The following is a 25,277-nucleotide window of genomic DNA, read 5'->3' on the forward strand; positions in this document are numbered from 1 at the left end:
TGTTACAGAATTGACTATTCATAAAATAATGTATAAAATATTATACATGTTATCTTATTTTATGCAATGAACTTATAAAATAGATATTATTTTAGTTCCCCATCCTACCTCTCAGATGAAGAAACTGAGTCCAAAATGATTTCAGGACTTCAAAAAACTTTTTTATTCATACATAATATTTGTATATGTTTATGGGGTACGTGAGATATTGTGTTACAGGTATAGAAAGTATAATGATGGGCCAGGCATGGTGGCTCATGCCTGTAATCCCAGCACTTTGGGAGGCTGAGGTGGGCAGATCACCTGAGGTCAGGAGTTTGAGACCAGCCTGGCCAACATGGCAAAACCCCTTCTCTACTAAAAAAGTACAAAAATTAGCTGGGCATGGTGGGAACACCTGTAGTCCCAGCTACTTGGGAGGCTGAGGCAGGAGAATTGCTTGAACCCGGGAGGTGGAAGTTGCAGTGAGCTGAGATCATGCCATTGCACTCCAGCCTGGGGGATACAGCGAGACTCTGTCTCCAAAAAAAAAAAAAGAAAGAAAGAAAAAAAGAAAGGGTAATAATCAAGTCAGGGTATTTGGGTATCCATCACCACAAGCATTTATCACTTCTGTGTGTTGAGAACATTTCAACCTCTCTTCTAGCTATTTTGAAATGTACAACACATTGTTGTTAACTATAGTCATCCTACTCCGCTATCAAGCATTAGAACTTATTCCTTCTATGTTTGTACCCATCAACCAACTCCTCTCTACACACACACACACCCTTACATCCTTTCCAGCCTCTGCTGTCATTCTACTCTCTACTTCCATGAGACCAACTGCTTTAGATTCCACATGTGAGTGAGAACATATAATATTTGTCTTTCTGTGCCTGGCTTAACTCACTTATCATAAGGACTTCCAGTTCCATCCATGTTGCTGCAAATGACGTTACTTCATTCTTTTTTATGGTTGAATAGTATTCCATTATATATATATATATGTATATACACACACACACACACACCCCCACACACGTATACATATATATACCCCATTTTCTTTCTCCATTCATCTGCTGATAGACACTTAAGTTGATTTCATATGTTTGTTATTGTAAATAATGGTGCAATAAATATGGGATTCATGTTTCCCTTTGATATACGAATTTCCTTTCCTATGAACACCCAAGTAATGGGATCTGTGGATCATATGGTAGTTCTATTTTCAGTTTTCCGAGAAACCCATACTGTTTTCTATAATGGCTGTAGTAATTTACATTTTCACCAGCCGTATATGAGAGTTCCCTTTTCTCCACATCGTCACCAGCATTTGTTATTTTTGGTCTTTTTAATAACAGCCATTCTAACTGGGATGAGATGATATCTCATTGTGGTTTTGATTTGCATTTCCCTGATGATTAGCCATGTTGAGCATGTTTTCATGTACCTGTTGGCCATTTGTTTATTTTCTGTTGAGAAATAACTATTTAGATCTTTTGCCCATTTTTTATGGGATTATTTGGGTTTTTGCTATGGCATTGTTTGAATTCTTTATGTATTCTGGATATCAGTCTAATTTAGAAACTCTTGTTGTCTATTAACAGTATATCAGATCTCAAATACAAGTGTTCTTTTTCCAATTTCTCCATGCTTTTCCCTAAATTATTTCCCATAAATACCATTTAAGATTTTATATTTTAACTTTTTTTTTTTTTTTTTTTTGAGACGGAGTCTCGCTCTGTCGCCCAGGCTGGAGTGCAGTGGCGGGATCTCGGCTCACTGCAAGCTCCGCCTCCCGGGTTCACGCCATTCTCCTGCCTCAGCCTCCCGAGTAGCTGGGACTACAGGCGCCCGCTACCACGCCCGGCTAATTTTTTGTATTTTCAGTAGAGACGGGGTTTCACCGTGTTAGCCAGGATGGTCTCGATCTCCTGACCTTGTGATCCGCCCGCCTCGGCCTCCCAAAGTGCTGGGATTACAGGCGTGAGCCACCGCGCCCAGCCAACTTTTTCATTTAATCTGACACATACACATAAGTAGATTTAAGTTAAAAAATACTTAATTCAATAAAAAAGTCTGCATCATAACTTTATAAATATGACATGCCTAATCACTCATAACATACACTTTTTATATGTGTTTCAATAAGGAACTATATCCTCATCTTATAACTCTGATATTTTTCTGGTTATCATAGTAAATCTACCTATCAATAGTTGTATTTGTATATTTGAAGTTATATTTACATATACTCTAATATATAACTGAGTATATTTAAATTTAGTCCCTTTCATTATTATTTCACGTATTATTGAAAAAAATTGAATTTGCAGCATAAAAGCTAATTCATAAAGGAAATAGAGGAAGAAATGTACATACCTATACGCCTTGGCAGAAGAATTATGATGTATTCATCCAAACATTTATTCATTCAATAAATATCTATTAGTGCCAGTTCTAATAAGATCTGTGCTAGGGACTGAGGCCATAGGGTTTCATGCCATTTAACAAACATAACAAATGCTTATTTTGTGCCAGAAGAGATGTTGGTTTCTCTGGACACAAAGATGAAAAGGATGCAGCATCTGATACAGAAACGGGTTCTGCAAAGAGTGGTAAGTGCTGTAAGAAAAGTACTCAAGAGCACTGAAGAGGACGGGGCATCTGAGCTCACCTGAGTCAGGCAGGAGCCTCCAAGAAGAGGAGACACTGAGCTGAAGGATCAGTACAGGACGCAGGACGGAGGGAAAGCCACAGGGTTCCAGGCGGGGCACGCAGCAGGCACAAATGTGAACACAGACGCAGCCCTGGGGCAAGCAGTGCATGATCGGACGGGGCAGGTGGGAATGCGGCTGAAGTGGGATGAGGTGAAATCCAAGGAAACAACTTCCTGTTGTGCTTGGATGAACGTCACTGCTCAGGTGGGACAGTTCATACACCCTACAAGGCCAAAAGCTATGTGGTTATATGAGTAAGACCTGCTGGTCCCCTCTGGGAATTACTCAGCTACGTATGTCCAGGATCCAGGGGGCATAGCTGAGATCAATGTTGCCAGTCGGCCTCATCCTACCGACCAGGATTCTGTTGACAATATCTCAATCTAATGTTGTATGAGACAAATTAAACACATTTTGTCCCAGCCCCTGTCAGTGTGTCTAATCTGAGCTGCTGACAGGGTGACAGACTTGTGTGAAAACTTCAGTCCAACCAAGAAGGTGGAGGGACAAAAGGGTGAATTGTGGAGAGGGATGTCCCCGCACGCCTGTGCTCATGTCCCAGTTCACAAGGCTTAACTGTCCTCAGATCCTGAGCTAGCTCTGCAGCGAGTTGCATAGTATCAGGTAGGCTGAGGGAGTTACAGCCAGCACTACTCATTCCTGCTGGGGCAGGGGTGGGGACTGGCCTGTCCATGCTTTAGAAAGGCTGCCGAGCTCATGGCCATGAGTGCCTCAACTACGGCACCACCCACTGCGTGCACAGTCACCATCTGGGTGTATCACATTTCATGGAACTTCGAGACAGGAGTACTGGGGCCACCACACTGATGCTGTCAGCCTTGCTGTGCACAGGAATCTCATTGCCTACTTCCAGCTCTGATGAAGCCACCTCAAGCCAAGCTGCTTGCTTGCTTAGTTAGTTGTTCTTGTTGGAGTCATGCCATCCTCTGTGACGTTGGGGTTGTGCCCTGACATCGGGCAGGAGATGAAAGCAGGAGTTTCCCATGCAGCCAGACTTGGATGACATTCAGCTTTGAATGCATTGTGTCTTAAAGAGAATCCATGATGAGATTTCAAGACAGAGGTGGTGGTGGTGGTGGTGGTGCCCCAAGCAGCCTTCATTCCTGTGACATTAAGGACTTCAAGGTACAGAGGCTAAGAGACGTGAAGAAAGACAGCAAGACTGAGATAGAAATGAAAGAAGGAGCCAGGCCCAAATAAGTATTTCTGTTTCTGTCTGATCCTTGGCTATTTTCCAATCCTCAACCAAGATGAAAACTCCCCGAATTTGGCTTTGGATTAGAATTGCTCTGTCCCTCGGATGAGAGGCAGTAAAAACTTCCTGGCTGAAATGCTGCTCTGCCGGGCCTTCACTTCACTTCAAACGGCATGCATTGTCTAATTTGCATAGTTCTGCATTTGTGATTTGAGCTAAGTTTGTGGAGATGGAAAAGATGAGGTTCTTCCTATCCTAACAGCTAAAACAGATGGCCATGGATCCAATTTGTTTAGAATAAATTACTGCTACCGTAAGTGGAATAATTTACCCATATGATTTTTGTAAAAATCCTTCAGCTAAATCAGCTAGTCTCAGTAACACTACTTGGATAATGACTCTCCTTAGAGAATATAATTTACTGAATACCAGGTAAACAGAAATTAGCAAATGCAACTGAGCAGTGATTTTGAGCATCTAGGTGATGATGTAAGGAATCTACATAATATAAAATTGTAATAATTTACAAACAAAAAACTTACCACCTTATATTAGAATCTAAGATCCCACACATGATAAGGTACTGTATTATCACCACTAAAAAAGACCTAGATATGGTTTAGAACTCTTCCATTATAACATAGACCTCATTCCAATCAGAAACTCTCTCTTTATAGGACAGTCACAACTTTTGTCTCCAGGAATTTCTTTCAAGCTGTTGATATCCTGCCTTCAAGTTTTGATGCTCATACTTTTAAAATTTTACTAGAATGTGTCAAGGGAAAATTCCTAAACAATGAGAAAGCCATTTAAAATGCCAATTGTGATAGTTAATTTGGGCTGTCAACTCGACTGTATACCCAGACAGCTGGTAAGGCATCCTTTCTGGGTGTGTCTGGGAAGGTGTTTCCAAAAAATAAAAAGAAATGGCATTTGAATCAGTGGACTGAGTAAGAAAGATCCACCCTCACACAGTGTAGACAAGCACCAATCGATCAGCTGAAGTCCCCAATAGAAAAAAAAGGCAGAGAAAAGGTGAATTGTCTCTCTCTCCTGTAGCTGGGACACCTGTCTTCTCCAGCCCTTGGACATGAAAACTTCAAGTTCTGCAGCCTTTGGACTCCAGGACATGCAGCAGCAGTGCCTCCGTGTTCTCAGGCCTTCAGCCTCTACCTGAGTTACACCACCAGCTTCCTTGGTTCTGGGCCTTCAGACTTGGACTGAGCCATGCTACTGGCTTCCCTGATTCCCGAGCTTGCAAATCTATGGTGGAACTTATAATCCTCCAAAACCACATGAGCCAGTTTTTCCTAATAAATCCCTTCTCATATATCTATACCTATCTGTTATAGATATGTGTATGTATATACTTTTTTATTGTTTCTATCTCTCTGGAAGACTAATACAGATGTTGGTCCCATGAGAGGTTCTGGAGAAGGAGAATTTTAAGGATGAGTTCCCAGCATTGGTTTTAGGTGCTCTGGCATTATCTCTCTCATCAGATTGCACTTTAAAATGCTAAGGACTGCAGGCCGGGCGCGGTGGCTCACGCCTGTACTCCCAGCGCTTTGAGAGGCCAAGGCGGGCGAATCATGAGGTCAGGAGATTGAGACCATCCTGGCTAACACGACGAAACCCCGTCTCCACCAAAAATATAAAAAATTAGCCGGGCATGGTGGCAGGCGCCTGTAGTCCCAGCTACTCAGGAGGCTGAGGCAGGAGAATGGCGTGCACCCGGGAGGCAGAGTTTGCAGTGAGCCGAGATCGCGCCACTGGACTCCAGCCTGGGCAACACAGAGAGACTCCATCTAAAAAAAAAAGTAAACGATAAAAAAGCTAAGGACTCTATTACTAGTAGTACAGGGAGCACTGATAATCCGTAATGTAACTCTTCATACAGACACACAAAACATCTGCATTAGATTCTCCTAATCAACCCCTTATAGGAGGCAGAAAGTTTTTTCTTTTTTCCTTCCAACCTCATTTTAGGTTCAGGGGGCACATGTGCAGGCCTGCTGCACAGACCATCTCCTCACCCAGGTAATGAGCACAGAACCCCATAGGCAGCTTTCCAATCCTCACCCTCCTTCTGCCTCCACCCACAAGCAGGCCCCGGTGTCTACCACTCCCCTTCTTGTGTCCATGTGTACTCAATGTTCAGCTCCCACCTGGAAGTGAGAACATGTGGTTATTTGGTTCCGTACTTCTCTGTTCATTGGCCCAGGACAATGGCCTCCAGATCATCCAGGCTGCCACAAAGGTCATAACCTTGCATCTCCCTGTGGCTGTGTAGTATTTCATGGTGTTGATGCACCACACTTTCCCCAACCAGTCCACTGCTGATGGGCATCCACATAAACCCCCTCTCTCTGCTGCTGTGAATAGTGCTGTGATGAACATGTGTGTCCATGTGTCTTTATGGAGGGTTGACTAATACTCCCCTGGGCACATATCCAGCAATGGGACCACTGGGTCGAATAGTAATTCTGTTTCAGATTCCCTGAGAGATCTCCAAACTGCTTTTCACAGTGGCTGAACCAATCCACATTCCCACTAGTGGCGTACAAGCTCTCTACCTTCCCTGCAACCTCACCAGCACCTGCTTCTTAACTTTTTAGTGCTAGCCATTCTGACCAGTGTGAGATGGCATCCCACCATGTTTTGGTTTGCACTTCTCCAATGAATAGTGATGTGGAGCATTTTTCCATATGTGTGTTGGCCACATGCGTGCCTATCCTCAAGAAGTGTCCATCCACGCCCCTTACCCCTGTTTCAATGGAGTTGTCTGTTCCTTTCCGGCTGATTTAAGTTCCTTATAGATTCTGGATACTAGATCTCTGTCGAATGCATAGTTTGCGAATATTTTCTCCCATCCTATAGGTTGTTCACTCTGCTGACAGTTTCTTCTGCTGTGCAGAAGCTGCTCAGTTCAACCAAGTCCCACTTGTCAATGTCTGCCTTTGTTGCAGTTGCCCCTGGAGTCTTCATCCTGAAATCCCTGCTGGCACCAATGTCCAGAATGGTACTTCCCAAGATTTCCACAGCTTTATGTGTTACATTTAAGTCTTTATCTTGAGTTGATCTCCATACATGGTAAACGGAAGAGGTCCAGTCCCAATGTCCCCACACATGGCTAACCAGTTATCTCAGCACCATACACCAAAACAGGGGGTCCTCTCCCCACTGCCTGTCATTTTTGGCCCATAGGCAAGAAACGTAGTGACTCTATATAATACTTTCAAACCTGTGGAAAACTAAAGAATATGATGGTTGGCTGTTCCTAATGTCACTGACAGAATGGAGAAAGAAGAGGGTTAGGTCAATGATGTAGCTTGGATACTTGCCAACGTGCCCATCTCATGTTGAAACGTAATCCCCAATCTTGGAGGTCGGGCCTGGTGGGAGAGGTGTTTGGACCGTGGGGCAGACCCCTCATGAATGGCTTGGACCATCCCCTTGGTGATGAGTGAGCTCTCGCTCTGAGTTCACACAAGTTCTGGTTGTTTAAAAGTGTGTGGCCCCTCCCCTCATTCTCCCTCTCCCTTTCTTTCTTGTTCCAGCTTTCACCGTGTAACGTGCCTATTCCCTCTTCACCTTTAGCCATAATTATTGTTTCCTGAAGCCTCACCAGAAGCTGACCAGATGCCAGCACCATGCTTCCTGTACAGCCTGCAGAACCGTGAGCCAATTAAACCTCTTTTCTTTATAAATTACCCAGCCTCAGCTATTTCTTTATAGCAATCCAAGAATGGCCTAACGCAATCAGGGATTTGAATTTCCATATCACGCTCCACATAAATAACCTAAGAATTTCTAGGTATGCCTTGAAGGAGAATCTTCTCTCTGTAGCTATGGGACAGAAATGGCCAAAAATCAAACACTACTCCTCATCGTGTGATTCTGCCTGAATTACAACAAAAGTTGAACTCTCAGCCTTGCAAGCTATCTACTGTTAAAGTGAAGACCTTGGTTGGGGAAAAATGGGATCTTGCAAGTTGTGAAGGGGACATGTGAGAAGCCCCTGATGAGGCTGGGGACACTGCATCTCTGAATTCTGATGAGTTATTTTTGCCAAAGAAAGTGGCCTCCCCACCTGCAGTGGTATTGGCCTCTCCACTTATGTCTAAGGAGATTAACCCTGCAGTACCTGAGAAAACAGCACTACTCCCCTGAGACAGTTGTCAAGCAAGACAAAGCTAATGCTCCTCAGGACCCACCCCAGTTTCTCTTTGCTTCTAGACTTATAACCAGACCCACATCCCAGCAGCCCCTAAAGACAAGGTACAATGTGTGGCCCAAGAGAAGCTGCCTGCTCTGCAAAAGAACTCCTTGAGTTTCCTGATTTGTACAAGCAGAAATCTGGGGAACACATGTGAGACTAGATATTAAGGGTGTGGGATAGTGGTAGAAGGAACATAAAGTTGGATCAGAGGATCAGACTGAATTCATTGACATGGCTCCACTAAGCAGAGATTCTACATTTATTGCTGTAGCTTGGGGAGTTAGAAAGGGTTCTAATGGTTGGTTGGTTGGTTGGTTGGTTGGTCAGTTGGTTATCTAAAACATGGAGCAAAATATGCCCCACTGTGAATTAGTTGGAAATCCCTGATTTCTCCTGCCTTAACTTAGAGGAAGAGATTTAAAGGCTTAGGGTGATTGAAATGCAAGAGTGGAATTGTCACTTGGGACTCACTCACTCACCCCGGAAGGGTCCAAAAGACATACCGTTCACCAATACCTTGTGAAACAGACTCATGAGGGGAGCCCCAGCATCTTTGACGAGCTCCCTGATTGTGTGGAACCACAAACACTCAACCGGAAAACTTAATGCGATAACATAATTGGATCCCAGGGTGACAGGAGCCAGATGGCGGTACTCAGTGGCCAAAGGAAAAGTAGATGGAGTTACTGGGAGGCACAGCATAGGCAAAGCAACCATCAGAATAATCTGATTCATGTAGATCTATGGCATTGGCTAATCATGGTGTTTCAAGACGTGAAATAGATGGGATAGCCTAGTAAACTCCTAATTGATCTGCATAAGGAGAAAACTTCAGGTCAAGTAAACAAAAGTCTAACTCAAATCATAAAAAACAGAGAAACAGGGCCCCTTAATTAATTCCCAGACTTGGGCCAGTTTACAGGCCCAGAATCCCTTGAATGAATGGGACGTCAGATCCCCTCCAGGAAGGACCCTAATACACTATCGAAAGTGTATACTGTTGTCTGAGCACGGTGGCTCACGCTTGTAATCCCAGCACCTTGGGAGGCCACGGCGGGAAGATCACGAATTCAGGAGTTCAAGACCAACCTGGCCAACACAGTGAAACTCCGTCTCTACTAAAAATACAAAAATTAGCTGGGTGTGGGGACAGGCGCCTATAATCCCAAATACTCCGGAGGCTGAGGCAGGAGAATCATTTGAACCTGGGAGGTGGAGGTTGCAGTGAGCCAAGGTCGCGCCACTGCACTCCAGCCTGGGCAACAGAGCAAGACACCATCTCAAAAAAAAAAAAAAAAGAAAGAAAATGTATACTGTTAATCTTTCCTCCAGTCTTCCCCAAAGGGACCCAGAGCCTTTTACCATGGTAACTGTGCTTTGAGGGAAAGGAAACAATCAGACCTTTGAGAGACTAATGAACATTGGCTCTGAACTGATGCTGATTCCAGGAGACCTGAAATGTTACTGCAGCCCTCCATTTAAAGTAGGGCTTATGGAGGTCAAGTGGTCAATGGAGTTTTAGTTCAGGTTTGATTTACGGTAAGTCAAGTGGGCCCCTTAATGCATCCCATAGTCAGTTCCCCAGTTCCAAATGCATAATTGGAATAGACATGTTCAGCAGCTGGCAGAATCCCTACACTGGTTCCCTAACCTGTGAGGTGAGGGCTAGTATGGTGGGAAAGGCCAAATGGAAGCCATTAGAGCTGCCTCCACCTAGAAAATAGTAAACCAAAGGTGACACTGCATTTTTAGAGGTATGCAGAGATCAGCGCCACCACCGAAGACTTGGGGTGGTGATTCCCAACCACATCCCTGTTCATTTCTCTTATTTGACCTGTGCAGAGAACAGATGGCTCTTAGAGAATGAGAGTGGATTATCCTAAGTTTAACCAGGTGGTGACTCCAATTGCAACTACTTTACCAGATGTGGTTTCATTGCTTGAGCAAATTAGCAATACTCTGCTACCTGATTATGCAGCTATTGAAGCTGCCAAATGTTTTTTTCTCCATACCTGTCCTTAAGGCCCACAAGAAGCAGTTTGCTTTCAGTTGGCCAGGCCAGCAACGTATCTTCACTGTCCTGCCTCAGGGGCATGTCCACTCTCCAACCCTATGTCATAGTTTCGTTCAGAGATCTTGATTGCCTTTCCCTTCCACAGTTATCACACTGGTCCGTTACAGAGATGGTTTATGTGCATTGAACCTCAAGAGCAGGAAGTAGCAACCACTCTAGTCTTGCTGGTAAGACAGTTGTGTGTCACCCCCAGACCTTTCAATCCTCTTTACACTGCTCCACGTTTTTCCCATAGCAAGTATCCCCTTCTAACATCCTAGGTAATTCACTTTGTATTATGTGCATTGTTTATTATCTGTCTTCCCGGTAGAATGTAAGCTCCAAAAGAGTAGGAATCTTTGTTTTACTCACTGATACAAAGAGTGTCCAGTAGCATAAGCAGGTGTTCAACAAATTTTTTTTTTTTTTTTGAGATGGAGTCTCTGTCACCCAGGCTAGAGTGCAGTGGTGTGATCTCGGCTCACGGAAAGCTCCACCTCCCAGGTTCATGCCATTCTCCTGCCTCAGCCTTCCGAGTAGCTGGGACTACAGGCGCCCACCACCACACCTGGCTAATTTTTTTGTATTTTTAGTAGAGACGGGATTTCACCATGTTAGCCAGGATAGTCTCGATCTCCTAACCTTGTGATCCACCCGCCTCAGCCTCCCAAAGTGCTGGGATTACAGGCGTGAGTCACCACACTCAGCCCAACAAATGTTTGTTGAATGAACGAAGTTGGAGAAGTATGTGTTAAAGCAAGGATTCTAAGCAATACTGAACTGGGAGGTGTTGGACACAAAGCGGTGAAGCTGCAGGTTGCAGAAGCAGATGAATTATGGGAACAAAACTGCTGTTGAGACTAAAGTCAATGTCAAGGACAACACATGGAACAGAGAGACAAAACAGCAATGATGGTAGAGTAGAAGTGTCCCAGGAGGCCGGGCACAGTGGCTCACGCCTGTAATCCCAGCACTTTTTGAGGCTGACGCGGGCAGATCACAAGGTAAGGAGATTGAGACCATTCTGGCCAACATAGTGAAACCCCATCTCGACTAAAAATACAAAAATTAGCCAGGCATGATGGCACACACCTGTAGTCCCAGCTACTCGGGAGGCTGAGGCAGTAGAATCACTTGAACCCGGGAGGCAGAGGTTGCAGTGAGCTGAGATTGTGCCACTGCACTCCACCTGGGTGACAGAGTGAGACTCCGTCTCTAAATAAATAAACAAACAAAGAAACAAACAATGGTCCCAGGAACTGCTAAAAGACTTAACAGCAGCACCCCTTCTCTATATGGCTTGATATGGGTCCAAAAGTCTAGAGGAGGAATCCCTCAAAGTGGTTTCCTTTAATGTCTCTGTCTACTTTGACTTCGCCTACTGGACCCTACTGCCTTCTCATAATAAAATTTAATAATTGAAAATGTATCTTGAGTAGGAAAAAAGCTAAGAAACAGCAAATGACCTCCAAGTTTGATATTATAAGTCCACAGAGACACATTCCAGACCGCATAAGGCCACCATGGTTGTGCTGTTTTTTTAAAAAAGTCACTCAGAATCAGTGTATATATCATAACAGCACCTACTTGGGAAATTCACATGAAATACTCATATTCGCTTAGGGTTATTTTTAAAAAGAAAAGAATGAAACCATATTCTCTATTCTCAGATAAATAGCTTTGGAAGAAGAAAATCTCAGCATGAGCATATTGGGAAAAACAATCAACAGGAGTATTTTGGGTTGCAGTCGTGATCACTGCATGTGACTCACCACCACAGCCAAGAAAACTGCCTGTGGGCAATGTTTCCATCAACAAGAGATGGGCGCATCCTGTTGCAGAAAAAAACAATTCCAAATCTCTACATCGTAATTTCCTTGAAGGTGATTGAAATTACTACACTTCACTGGATATTTGGTGGCCGGCGGGGGATGCAAAGAAAAATAACAAAGAAGAATCCACTGAAAGGTTCTTAGATGTTTAATCAAAAAGCAGCACACTAAACTGTTAAGTCCTGGATCTGTCGTGCAGTGGCAAAGCAGCTGGAGTAGGTATCAGGAAGCTGGTATCCAGGTATGAATCCCTCACTCTTCCTCCCTTTCGGACTTGCTGACTTTCTTGAAAAGGACTCAGATCCACATCTGTCTGTCTTTATGTTGTATATGCATTGGGGTTTGTGATCATATTTAAAAGATTTTTGAGGGGGGGACATAAAATATAATCTACATTGATCAAAACTATTATAGTCTACTAAAATTTATCTTGAGTAAAATAGAAGAAAAGGGCAGTAACGCTTCAGTGAATGTCTTTATTTTCCATTTTATAGGCATTGTTGAATGGATTCCGCATTTGATCATACTATAAAGGCCTCCCCTGACAACGCAGCATCTCGAAAGTAAAATTTAAGGACCTCCTCTAACATAATTCATTCTTGTCCTGCACTCTGAGTTTTCTACCAGGAGAGTTATTCCTGTAAGGCAGTATTTCTAAAAATGCATTCCGAGAACTCTAAGATTCTTCCCTGCCCCATCCCACTCCCAACAGATTTTCCAGTAAAATAAGTTTGAGACATGCTGCGTACAATATTCCCCCTCTTGAAAATGTGTCATCTATAATAGCATATTAAGGTCTCTGTTTATTGATCCAATAAGTTTGAAAGGTTTGTAAATGTGTCTAGTAAGTTTTGGAAGTGTCTTCCTATGTAAGAAATGAGTAAACAAGCCCATTGGACACACCTGGGGAAAGCATTCTGAATAGAGTGTCCACCATCTATCTGTCCTGTAAATATGTTAAATTAAATGGGAACAGCAATATATTTATATCATTTGTGAAAGCAAATGATAACAAGTTTGGAAAAGCTTCAGCACAGGGAAAAAAACCACGGTGAGCATGAGAACTGTCAAGGGAGGCCATACCCAATGGGGTACACACCAGGGCACCACATCTAAAACTCTCACAGGCATGACCACTGGGGAGTTGTTGAGACACAGATCCGTGGATGCTCCCTCTCAGAGACTCTGATCCAGCAGGCCCGGGGCCCCAGAATTCACATTTATAACAAGCTCCTAGGGGAGGCTGGTGATGCTGGTCTTAATTAAGAGTCTGTCAAAGAACAAGTCAGCTCTGAGACCCTACCAAGGGACCAACACTGCTTTTGCCTTGTGGGGAGGCGGATAAGAAGCTCGCAGCATGGTCCTTGCCTGCTATCCTGTGAAAGCCAAAATTAACGCACAAAAAAGAAGCATACGGTATTTTAATAAAAATAGTTAACTCTTAAATAGCACCTACAATGTGCCAAATACTCCTCCAAGTGCTTTACACATACGACCTCCCTGGATTTCAACTGAGGTCCACTGAGGGAAGCACTGCTTGTTACCTCTTTTACCCACATAAGAAAATGAAGCCCAGAGAGATTGAGTGACTCATCCAAGGTCTCCCAGGAATTAAGCCCATAGAGCAGGGCTCCAGAGGCAGTAAACTTCCACTACATTGCCTCTCTCATTGACACATACAGCTGATGGTGTGAAAGTTGATGAGGTTTGGATGCACTGGGGAATGAGGGTGCCTAAGTCAACTTGACAAGCTGTGGTGCACAGCAGACTCAGAGTGACACCACCGGAGAATGTTGCCAGCACCACTGCCATTAGTGACAGAACCACGGCCTGGGCAGACAGGGATTGTAAAACTCTCCCAGCATGGCCACCGAGTGAGAACCAGGGCCAGGGCCAAGCCTACCTAACATGGAAATTGGCCACATACAGGAGAATTGAGCAAATAAATTAAAATATCCATGACAATGAAAGCCAAGTTCCTCAATACTGGCGAAGGGTGTTCAAATGCAGAAAGCTGGGCTGGGCGCAGTGGCTCAGGCCTATAATCCCAACACTTTGGGAGGCCAAGATGAGTGGATCAGTTGAGGTCAGGAGTTTGAGACCAGCATGGCCAACATGGCAAAAGCCCATCTCTACTAAAAATACAAAAATTAGCCAGGCATGGTGGCATGTGCCTGTAATCCCAGCTACTTGGGAGGCTGAGGCAGGACAATCACTTGAACCCAGGAGGCAGAGGTTGCAGTGAGCCAAGATCATACCACTGCACTCCAGCCTGGGTGACAGAGTGAGACTCCGTCTCAAAAAAAAAAAAAAAAAAAAAAGAAAGAAAGAAAACCTGAAGGAATATTCTGGCACCACACACACAAAAAAAGTCACAGAAGACCTGTTCGTATTTCCCCTTTCTGACAGCTTGTGCGGCTGGATAATGAGTCATAAAGGGAGCCGGGGAGGCCAGCCCTATACCACACCTCTATCCTACAGACACCAAGGCTGCAGCAGGACACTCAGAATTTGTCTGCCTACCTGATGGGAAGAGAACACTGGCCACGTGCACGGCACCATGCCTGTAAACCCAGCACTTTGGAAGGCTGAGGCAGGTGGATCACTTCATCCCAGGAATTGGAAACCAGCCTGAGAAACATGGCTAACCCCCATCAAAAAAGAAAAAAAAAAAAAAAAAAAAAAACTAGCCAGCATGGTGGTACATGCCTGTAGTCCCAGCTACTCGAGAGGCTGAGGTGGAAAGATTGCTTCAGCCCAATAGTCCGAGATTTCAGTGAGCCGAGATAATGCCTCTGCACTCCAGTCTGGGTGACAGAGTGAGACCCTGCCAAGAAAGTGAGAGAGAAAAAAAAAAAAACACTAAATTTGGGAGTCAAAAAGTTGAAGAGTTAAATTGCTACAGTGAAAGCAATTACTGTGATTGACCAATATTTACTTTGCGTTTGCAGAACTCAATCTTCTTACAATAGGATTTCTAAAGAAGAGCAGACAGCACCCTGCAGCTGCACTTTGATGAGAAAGAAAATCAATGCTTCTGCATTTGCACACTCAGGAGAAGGGGTGAGGGATAATCATGTCCACCAGAAATCACTAGTTTGGGTGAAAGTATCACAGGGCTTGGTGGAAACCAATAATTTCCTCAAACCACTTAAGCACAGAGAATTCATAAAGCTTCTCAATTCTCCTGTTGCTGCAAAAACATGTTTCCATGGTGTGTGTAACACAGTGAGGGCTACTGGCGTCCAGCCACCTGAGCACGCAAAGCTAGCTAGTAGCACAGCAAAAATAGTATTTCGTACTGATGCAGAGAGCCTGCTCATTGCTAAATCATTATCTAAGAAATGTTCAAACCAGCATGACACAAATTATTATTATGGGATGATATAATAACATAACATTCGTGGATACTAGCCCTACGCAGGAGTTTCCATAAAACTCTTTTTAGACAACGTAGGAAAGTTAATATTCTGCAGGGAAGGAGACGGGAGGAGCTCTAAACCTAAGACAGTCACCACCAACTCCATCACCAAGCCGCAGTGCTGTCCTGCTCTCTTCTATCTGGCGTCCTTTGTTCCCAAGAAACCTCATTTTGCAGATCTGTGGACTTTGAATAGATCCTGAAACACAGAGTCACCTCTTATACACGGTTGAAATATCCAGCTGCCCGGAGCTGGTGGCATGGGGGAGAAAGGCCAACCAGATACTGGTCAACAGTGAGAGGGGTCAAAGCCTGAGAGTGAGGAGCCATCATCAGGCCTGGTACAACAGGCTCTGGGCGCTGACTTGGTGGCACCAGAGGGGCAGAGCATGCGTCTCCTCTCTGCGGCGTACCTGCCACCCTCCACAAGCCCAGCGCTCCACCTCCTAGGAGATCCTGGGGGCACCTGTTCCTGACTCCCCACTGTCGAGTGCTTGGCTTGAGAAGCTGCTGTCGCCTCGCTCCCAACAACCCAAACCCCAAGACAGCCAGAATGTTTCCATCATTCCACCCCACCGCTGTGCTCAAATCTTGTCCCATCCAGAATAAAATCCCGAGTCCCAGCCACGCCTGCGAGGATTCCAATGGTCCGGCCTCCCTCCCTCTCCTTCCCCACGCAGTCCTCCAGGCTGCTCCTCCCACACACCAAAGAGGCTAACCAATGGGGCTGCTGTCCTTGGTTCTAACTTGCTCCCCATACGCATGTGGCTCCTTCTCCACCTCCTTGACGATCTCTGCTTCAAAGACACTTTGTCCAGAAGCCTCCCATGATCAAACACATAAAGCAACTCAAGCCTCCCCATCTGATGGGTTTTTGTTTGTTTGTTTGTTTGTTTGTTTTTTGAGACGGAGTCTCGCCCTGTCACCCAGGGTGGAGTGCAGTGGTGCGATCTCGGCTCACTGCAAGCTCCACCTCCCGGGTTCACATGTTCTCCTGCCTCAGCCTCCCAAGTAGCTGGGACTACAGGCGCCCGCCACCACCCCCGGCTAATTTTTTGATTTTTAGTAGAGATGGGATTTCACCGTGTTAGCCAGGATGGTCTTGATCTCCTGACCTCGTGATCTGCCCGCCTGGGCCTCCCAAAGTGTTAGGATTACAGGCATGAGCCACCACACCCAGCCTGCTTTTTTCTTTTTCTTTTTTTTTTAACTTTGCTTTATTTGTTTTCAAAGCCCAAGCAGACATAGTATACGTTTTACATATTTCTTCATCTCTCTGTGCCTACAGGAATCAAACTCGATAAGAACAGGGTTTTACTTCGTTTGTCCATGAGTACATCCACAGCATTCACAACAGTGCCTGCATATGGTTGCTCAATAAATGTCCACTGTTACTGAATACAGCTGTTCCCTGTATGGTGTAACGTGTGTGACTTTTGGGAAGCAAATCAGAAGATATACTTTGCATCATCTTGCCATTGAGTCTGCAGGGTCTAACTGCATTAACTAATTATGGATCCCTTTGATGGATATCTGGCAATAATGGTGGTTTTTTTAATCATCTGAGATAAAGACTAGTTGTGCTGCGATTGAACTGTAGCTGTGCATTAGTAATTGATTCCTCAGGGATAAATGGATGGCTGTAATTGGGAGTAACTAAGATAAGATTTAATAAGCGTCTTGAACTTTCCCAAGAATCTAGTTGCTCAGATTAGTCTGTCATCTCTGAAAGCTATAAGTAATGCAAACAATTTATATATCACTCTCAGAAACTTGCGACTTAGGGGATGTCATGCGAGTGCTGAAGAATCTGACTCTTTTCATAATCTGATTTGCCTACTGCCGATGTATGTGCACGGTGGATTTTTAAAAGGTCATTGTAATTTCTGTAGTTATTTTTATTAAATTACAGTGATTAATTTTTAGGATACATTTTGTTTTCACTATTCCAGGGAAGTTTTTAACAAAATTGGTGTACCCTTTAAAAAGGAAACAAAAAAGAAAATAAACCCCCCAGACCACCCACTCATTCTGCAGCAGCTGGAGAATGAATGTACCTGCCCCTCTTTGTTCCTTATTCACCACCCACTGGAGGAGTCTACATGGGGGGGTCCCAAGTCTCCCCAACAGGAGTGCCTCTCACAGCTGGTCACTGGGTCCTAAGTGATGCATGAGCTGGCTACATAGGACCGAACACTGGGACAGGTCACACCTACGAGCTGTGCTTGGTACAGAACAGGCATTCAACAGAAGTCGGAAACTTTATTCACTTTATCACCTACTCACCCATTTGTTAACACTAACTGGTCAGAAAATTTGGAGACATTCAGAGTCAAGGAGAAATTAAAAGCTACCCATTTTCTTACTAACAAAGAGACATTTCCCACGTCCCAAAGCCCTGTCTCATCTCCCCCTCCTGCGCTGGATTCATGCACCTGTTTCTGTATCAAGAAACTACCATGGATGGTCCCACTGCCCTGCTGCCCCCCTCACACCCCCTCAACAAGGGTAAAGATGCTCAAGGTTCAGTCTCTTTCTCACCATAGAGCCACGATTCTTAAATTTCAAAAGAGGAATTTTTTTTCCTTTATACCCCACCCCAGAGAGAGATGCCCTTCTCCCCAGCCCCAAGTGAGAGTTTAAGTTTGCTCTTATGCAGAGAATGCTCAAGTACTCCAGAGCAGTGATCCTCCTGCCAAGGAGAGGAAGGAAGACAGGAAAGGAGGAGGAGGAGGAGATCTGGCAACGCTGGTGCTTTTTCCTGGAGATTCACAGCAATGGTGACTCCAAAATCTTTCTCACAAGCTCTGTTCTCTTTCCTGAGCTGCATATTTCTCCCTCCCAGACAGACATGTTCACCTCACCTGAGATGCCAAATATCCAAAACCTCAGCTTCCCTGCAAAAAAGAAAGAAAACCATGCCTCTTGCTTTCCTCTCTTTGGTAACAGTTGCCCCGTCTTCCCAAGACCCTCAGCTTGGGAGCCGGGACACATTCTCTTCGTGAACAGTCTTGACATTTTGCCCTGTAATCATTCCCAGCTCCACTGCCATTATCAGCATACAAAATCACATCATGGTTCACATGTATCTTCCCAGCCAGACTCCAGTCAGTCCCCTCTCCTCTATCCATCCCACTCCAGTGCTATCCACCTACCCCGATTCTCATCTGTCTCAAACACCACTTCGATCCTACTTTTCCCCTCATCAAGAATTTCGGCCGGCACGGTGACTCACACCAGTAATCCCGGCATTTTGGGAGGCCGAAGGAGTCAGATCATGAGGTCAGGAGATCAAGACCATCCTGGCTAACACGGTGAAACCCCGTCTCTACTAAAAATACAAAAAAAAATTATCTGGGTATGGTGGTGGGCGCTACTTGGTTCCAGCTACTCGGAAGGCTGAGGCAGGAGAATGGCATGAACCTGGGAAGCAGAGGTTGCAGTGAGCCGAGATCCCACCACTGCACTCCAGCCTGGGTGACAAGGTGAGACTCCGTCTCAAAATAAAGAAAAAAAAATTTCAATTATTGCTGGCTGCCTATCAAATTAAATAAATCTCTTCACTCTTTAATATGATCCAAATTTTATATAATATATAATCACTGTATCATATATAGCATATATCAAACACACACACACACACACACACACACACACACACACCCCCAAAGTCCTGGCCAAATGCAATACCCTGAGCATCTTCCTGCCTTTCCACCTCCACGTCTTCGGATTCTACCCAATGCCTGGAATTGAAGTCTTTATTACTGCAAGGCTGATCTCAAATAGCCGCTGAGTAACATCTAGATGCCACCTACTCACACAGCACCTCTTCCCTCTGAATCATATATTGCTTTTTTAAAGTTCCATGGACTTTGCCTTAATTTTTTTAACATAAAAATTTAAATACTCAATATTAAGTTCCATAAGGGCAAAGACTGTCTTAGGCATCTTTATTTTTCCAGTTATTCATATGATATCTGATAGACTGTAGTTGCTCAATGTATGTATTTGGCAAATGAACTTGAAAATATCTCAATAGGAGGACTATTCATGTTAAAATTAAAAGTGATTTAATTTTAATTAAGTTAAATTATAGTCAGCTCCCAACTGACACCAACCAAATGTGGGAGGACTGGGCTGCAAAATATATTACTCAACTATGACCATAACGTTAGTCCTCAGGATGTTTCAGAAAAATTTTGAAATTAACTGAACTACTTCTCGAATCGATTTCTTTCCTGGCCTGAAACCACCTGGGAGCTCATGGTAGGAGAGAACGTTAATGTGATTGTTTAGCCTGTGCTAAAATATAACTGCATTTGGTGTGACCACCCATCTACTTGTAAAAACACTCCCTCCAATCTCTGTATACTCATATGTTTTCATAAAGGCTGCAAACATAAGATCAAGAATCAGTCTCACTTTTCTCTCCATCTTCTCTTCTGTCACAAATTTCAGCAGTTCCTGAAGTGCCAGATTTCCTGGGGACATGGTTGGCATCCAGCTAAGGGAAGCTGGGTGGGATTTACATTTAGTTTGAATTTAGTGGAAATATTGAGGCAGTTAGAAGTCCTTTGAAGTCACTAGGTTATCGCAAATTGCCTTAGTGTAAGAATATGGCCTCCAGGAATGCTCCTATCACCCACTGTGCCAATTCTCCTGGCAAATTGACACAAAAGCCAGGCTCAGAGGTCACATAAGACATACTTATGTGAGACATACTTGTATGAGATGCACTTCCAATATATCTGGCATTGGAGTATGTGAGTAATAAAAGGTAAACAAGGTTTGAAAGGTACAGAGCCAAAGCTAATCTGTGGAAAATCCTCTCAATCATCAGATGTGTAAAACTATAAATAGAAAATTCAATGCTCATAGCTTCCAGTCACAATGGAAGCTGTCTTTTGTCAGGAATAGAGTGGAAATCATAGCATATATGATTATAAATACTCCATAATTTTTATTTGTTTTTGATGGAATTAACAGGAAAATAAAACGTATTCAAAAGTGTGTTTATAAGGCAGAAATCTGTAGCAATGCCATATACAAGTATGTCTGTGTATCTGTATATGAAGTTCCTTATTTCAAATACTGCAATACATTAGACCTCACATTTGAATGTCACCTGAGCATCCTGTCTAGGGCAAGTATGGGGGACCCAGATGAAAACAGTTCACCACTTGCCGCTAAGAGCCGGCAGGAACCCATATAGACAAGTGTTTCAGAGAGAAGCACCTAGATAGGCCTGGAATGCTTCCGATTATGCCTTATCAATTTTACAAAATTTTTATATTTTATATTTTAATTAATTTTATATGTTTCAGAATTATTGGTTGCACTGAAAATCAAATACACCAAAAAATATATCAAATATACCAAAAATATGCCCAAAAATGCCTTCAATTCAATAAAGTGAATTGCCAGGAGAACTGGCCCAGTGGGTTACTAAAGATTAGTCATTGCTTACAAAACCTTGAAATGTCCTGGCATGTTAAACTCGTGCAAAAAAGAAACTTGATAAATGTTTCCTCAAACTTCATAAAATTCCTAGAACTTTTCATGACATACTCAATGACAAATTGTGAAGCTGGAAGAAACTTATCTAAAATATCAATAATAATACACAAACTTCGATCTGGCACAATAGAGAAAAAATCCCTCCATTCCTCCTACACAAGAAACAATATTATAAAATTATCCTATAAAAGGCTCATATCAGAATATGAGCCATAAATTGTAGGAGAAAAATACTATAGAGCTACATTAGGCAATTAATAAAAATATTGTGTTATTTTTATGGATTGTGTGATGGGAAAATTAAGGCCAAGAGAAGTTAAGCCAAGGTCACCAATCACAGCAGGCTGATGACCGAGCTGAGATTCAGAACCAGGAAAAAGCATTGAATCTGTCTCTGTTTTATTTTCAACCATTTTAGTATTTCCATTTAAACATTTGGAAAATTGTCCATTTTCCTATTTTAACTTTGGGATTCAGAATCACCTGGAATACATACGATTTTCTATGCATTAGATTATAATCATCTTATTTTTAAATATAAATATGGTCATTAAGATTTATAGTTTAGCCATTTATGACTGTGTAGGATAAATTATATCACATGGTTATAATACTGTAGGAGTAGGAATTTTTGTTGTTAATTACATCGTATTGGAAAGCAGCTTTCTATACATATTTAATGTGTTACCTAACTTGTTCTTGCAGTACTAAAGAACCCTGGTAAATTCATTCTAATTATTCATATTCCAGGGCTATAACTAAATACGTTTTTAAAATTAAATATAAGCTGGCTCACTCTGAGAGGGAAAAAAACTCATAAAATAGCACAGATGCATTTATAACAAATTTCTGAGGTAACTTAAAAGTACTCCCTGAACAGTTCATTGTCATTTAATAAAATTCAGCTTCAGTTATCTAGAACGTTTAATCAAATTTTATTTTTTCATGAAGTCTTATCATATAAAGTTGAGGACTAATGCAAGCTAATTTTTAGGTAGATAAAATATTTCAGCAAAAAAGCATGAAAGCATAAAATACCCTTGTTAGTGAAATGCTAATATAAGAGTGTAAACTTCTATAATGAATTAAAAGCATCTCCATATTAACTAAGTTTAATGACTTTAAAGCACATAACAAAATATATTGCATTATAAGAAAAATATTTGAAACTACTCTGGTATCTCATCCAGAAACAGCTTCATGACCCAACACCAAATAAACTTCCATACGAGTTCATAAACAAGAAGTCCATGAGCATCCTTAGCGGGCAGATTCACTCAATATATTTATGGCCGATAGGTTCAATAAATGGCTAAATAAAAAATATTGATATAATTCAGTGAGGCACAGTTTCTTGGGATCCATTATATTCAATTAACATAAGACTATTTCTTATGGTAACCAAATATGTAGATGTACCATATTATAGGGTAAATGATTATATTTTGGGACAATATTTCTCAAATCAAATATGAATTACCCCCATTTTTTCAGGCCACTATTATAATAGTATTTTAGAAGATTTTATATGGCCACTTATGAGTTCCCAGGTGTTGCACATAACCTAAAAAACATAGTTGACCCACTCCATGGCAAAATACTCAAGGAAAATCTCCCTTTATCCCCATTAGAGTAGTAATCTACTTAAATTTTATAATATAACATTAAACTTCAACCCACTTCTTCCATTAATTAGTTTAGTACTAAAGAAGCAGGAATGGCTAGGCACAGTGGCTAACACCTGTAATCCCAGCACTTTGGGAGGCCAAGGTGGGCAGATCACCTGAGGTCAGGAGTTCGAGACCAGCCTGGCCAACATGGTGAAACGCCATCTCTAATAAAAATACAAAAATTAGCTGGGCGTGGTGGTGGGCATCTGTAATACCAGCTACTCGAGAGTCTGAGCCAGGAGAATCGCTTGAACCCGGGAGGCGGAGGTTGCAGTGAGCCGAGATCACACCGCTGCACTCCAGCCTGGGCAACAAAGAGCGAAACTCTGACTCAAACACACACACACACACACACACACACACACACACACACACACCAGGAACAAAATGCTATAAAATATAGAAGTTTGTTTTATAAATTAGAAGTAAAAACATATATGTTTATTTTATAAACTAGAAGTAAAAATATAATGTATGTGTACTGACAATGACTACAAAATAAAAAGTGAAGCCAAATAGTCACACATTAACCTATTTTTTCCATTTTTAAGCATATGCAATAGGTACCATTTCTAATAACCAACTTAATTTAAGTGTTTATAATGTATAAACACTTTAATATCCTCAAAATAATACCAGCTTATTTTACTGGGGTAAAAACACGTACAATTCCATATTGTTAACTTTGAGGTACAATGCCATACGGCAGATCACTAGAACTTAATTATCCTGCATACCTGAAACTTCATACCCATTGAATAGCAGCTCTCCATTTCCACCTCCACTCTCAAGCAGCTATCATATTCTCATTTAGCAAGTAAGAAAAATATGCCCAGGAGCTTATGTGTTTTTTTAAGAAGGCTCATAAAAAGTGCACATCAGCACTGGGACACATACTCTGGTCTACTATTTCAAATTTTTTTCATTCTGACTCTACCATCCCTTACACATAGGTGATGTTCCTGTTTTCAAGGACTATATGTAATGGCAATGTTCTTAGAATAATATTCTTGAAAATCAATCACAAATTTTAAACCCATTGAGATCATCAAGCCTGGAAGTTCTCAATTCCTTTCCCTTATTGCAAAACACACACCACATCACTCTGACATGAGCAATGGATAACCATCTACTGTATTTATATTAAAATCAGCTAAAAGTTATTTGCAACGTCTGATGTATTTGCGGTAACCACACTTCTTTCTGCCTGGCAAGAAATCATCAGAACTCAAGTGATGGCGATATTATTGTAGGAACAGTCTTGAAATCAGTAGTTTAATCGCCATTAATAAGGGTTGCTTGGAAATCACCTCAAAAATTATCTCAAAATATCAGAATATAGAAATAGTCCAGCTGTGGGTGGCAGATTTGAGCCCTTCATTGCATCTGTAAGGCCTAGAAGTTGAGCAATTGGTCCAATGAAGGAGTTCTGGTATATGGTAGAAGCAGTACTAATATTCAGAGACCCTAATTCTGTTCTTCCCACCATTCTATTGTCTCTTCATCTGCTTGCAGAGGTGAGAGATGTGAAATACCAGGTTTGGATTCACGAATTCAGGAGTTAGATTAAAACATATTTCAGTATCTGTCTTCTCTGTTTCTTGCGCCATTCAACAATAAGGATACATAGTAGCTAATATTAGAAAAGGGACTTGTGGATCTGAGAAGAATATCCAGAAGAAAGAATAACACACAAGGTTTCTGGGGAAAGTAGTCGAAGAAAGGAATTAAAATACAAGAGTGAGGCCTTTCATCCTGGACTCTGTCTGCCACCAGCTGCTTTTCTCTCAATAAACTCGTGAATCACTGAATCAAGTAATTATTGAATATCTAGTATGAACCATGTACTACACTTGTTACTAGAGGATATGTAACTTCTTTTGTAACACTTCAGTTACCTGAAGAAATTGAAGTTCTACATATAAGGAATTTACTAAAGACCCTAAAAATTAAGAATCAATACCCAATAGTGAGCACTGTACAAGTATTTGTTGATGGAACTATATTGATACTACCACTGTTTTAACATCAGATTTACTACAAATACGTTTCATTCCCACTTGAAAACAGACGTTGGCTTCTCACAAGAAAACTCAACATCTCTATTGCTATATAGTTATATATTTAAACTTATTTTAAACCACAAAGTCTCATTTTGGAGTGACCTAGATAATACCATCACCATATTGATAAAATATAGAGAAGAACTGCAGCTCTTTGGGACAATGGTTTCTAGCTGTGAAAGAGAAAGACCTTTTATATTATTAAAATAAATTTTGAGGATATAAGTCTTTGAGAAGATTGAATAGTTATCTTTTGTGTGTTATCTCTTGTGAGGCTATCAGAAAGATGTATACCTAATTGGTTCAAAGCTTGGTACTGATAAACAATAGCTTGATAAATACCGAACAAAAGCATTTTTTTTTTCATTTTAACAGTTGTACTTATCAGGTTGGGGCGCTGTGGCTCAAGCCTGTAATCCTAGCACTTTGGGAGACCGAGGCGTGTGGATCACGAGGTCAGGAGTTCAAGACCAGCCTGGCCAACACGGTGAAACCCCATCTCCACTAAAATTAGATAGGTGCGGTGGTGGGCACCTGCAATCCTAGCTACTCAGGAGGCTGAGGCAGGAGAATCGTTT

The sequence above is a fragment of the Homo sapiens genome, chromosome 8 (assembly GCF_000001405.40).
Source record: "Homo sapiens chromosome 8, GRCh38.p14 Primary Assembly".
In the NCBI taxonomy this organism is placed as follows: domain Eukaryota; kingdom Metazoa; phylum Chordata; class Mammalia; order Primates; family Hominidae; genus Homo; species Homo sapiens.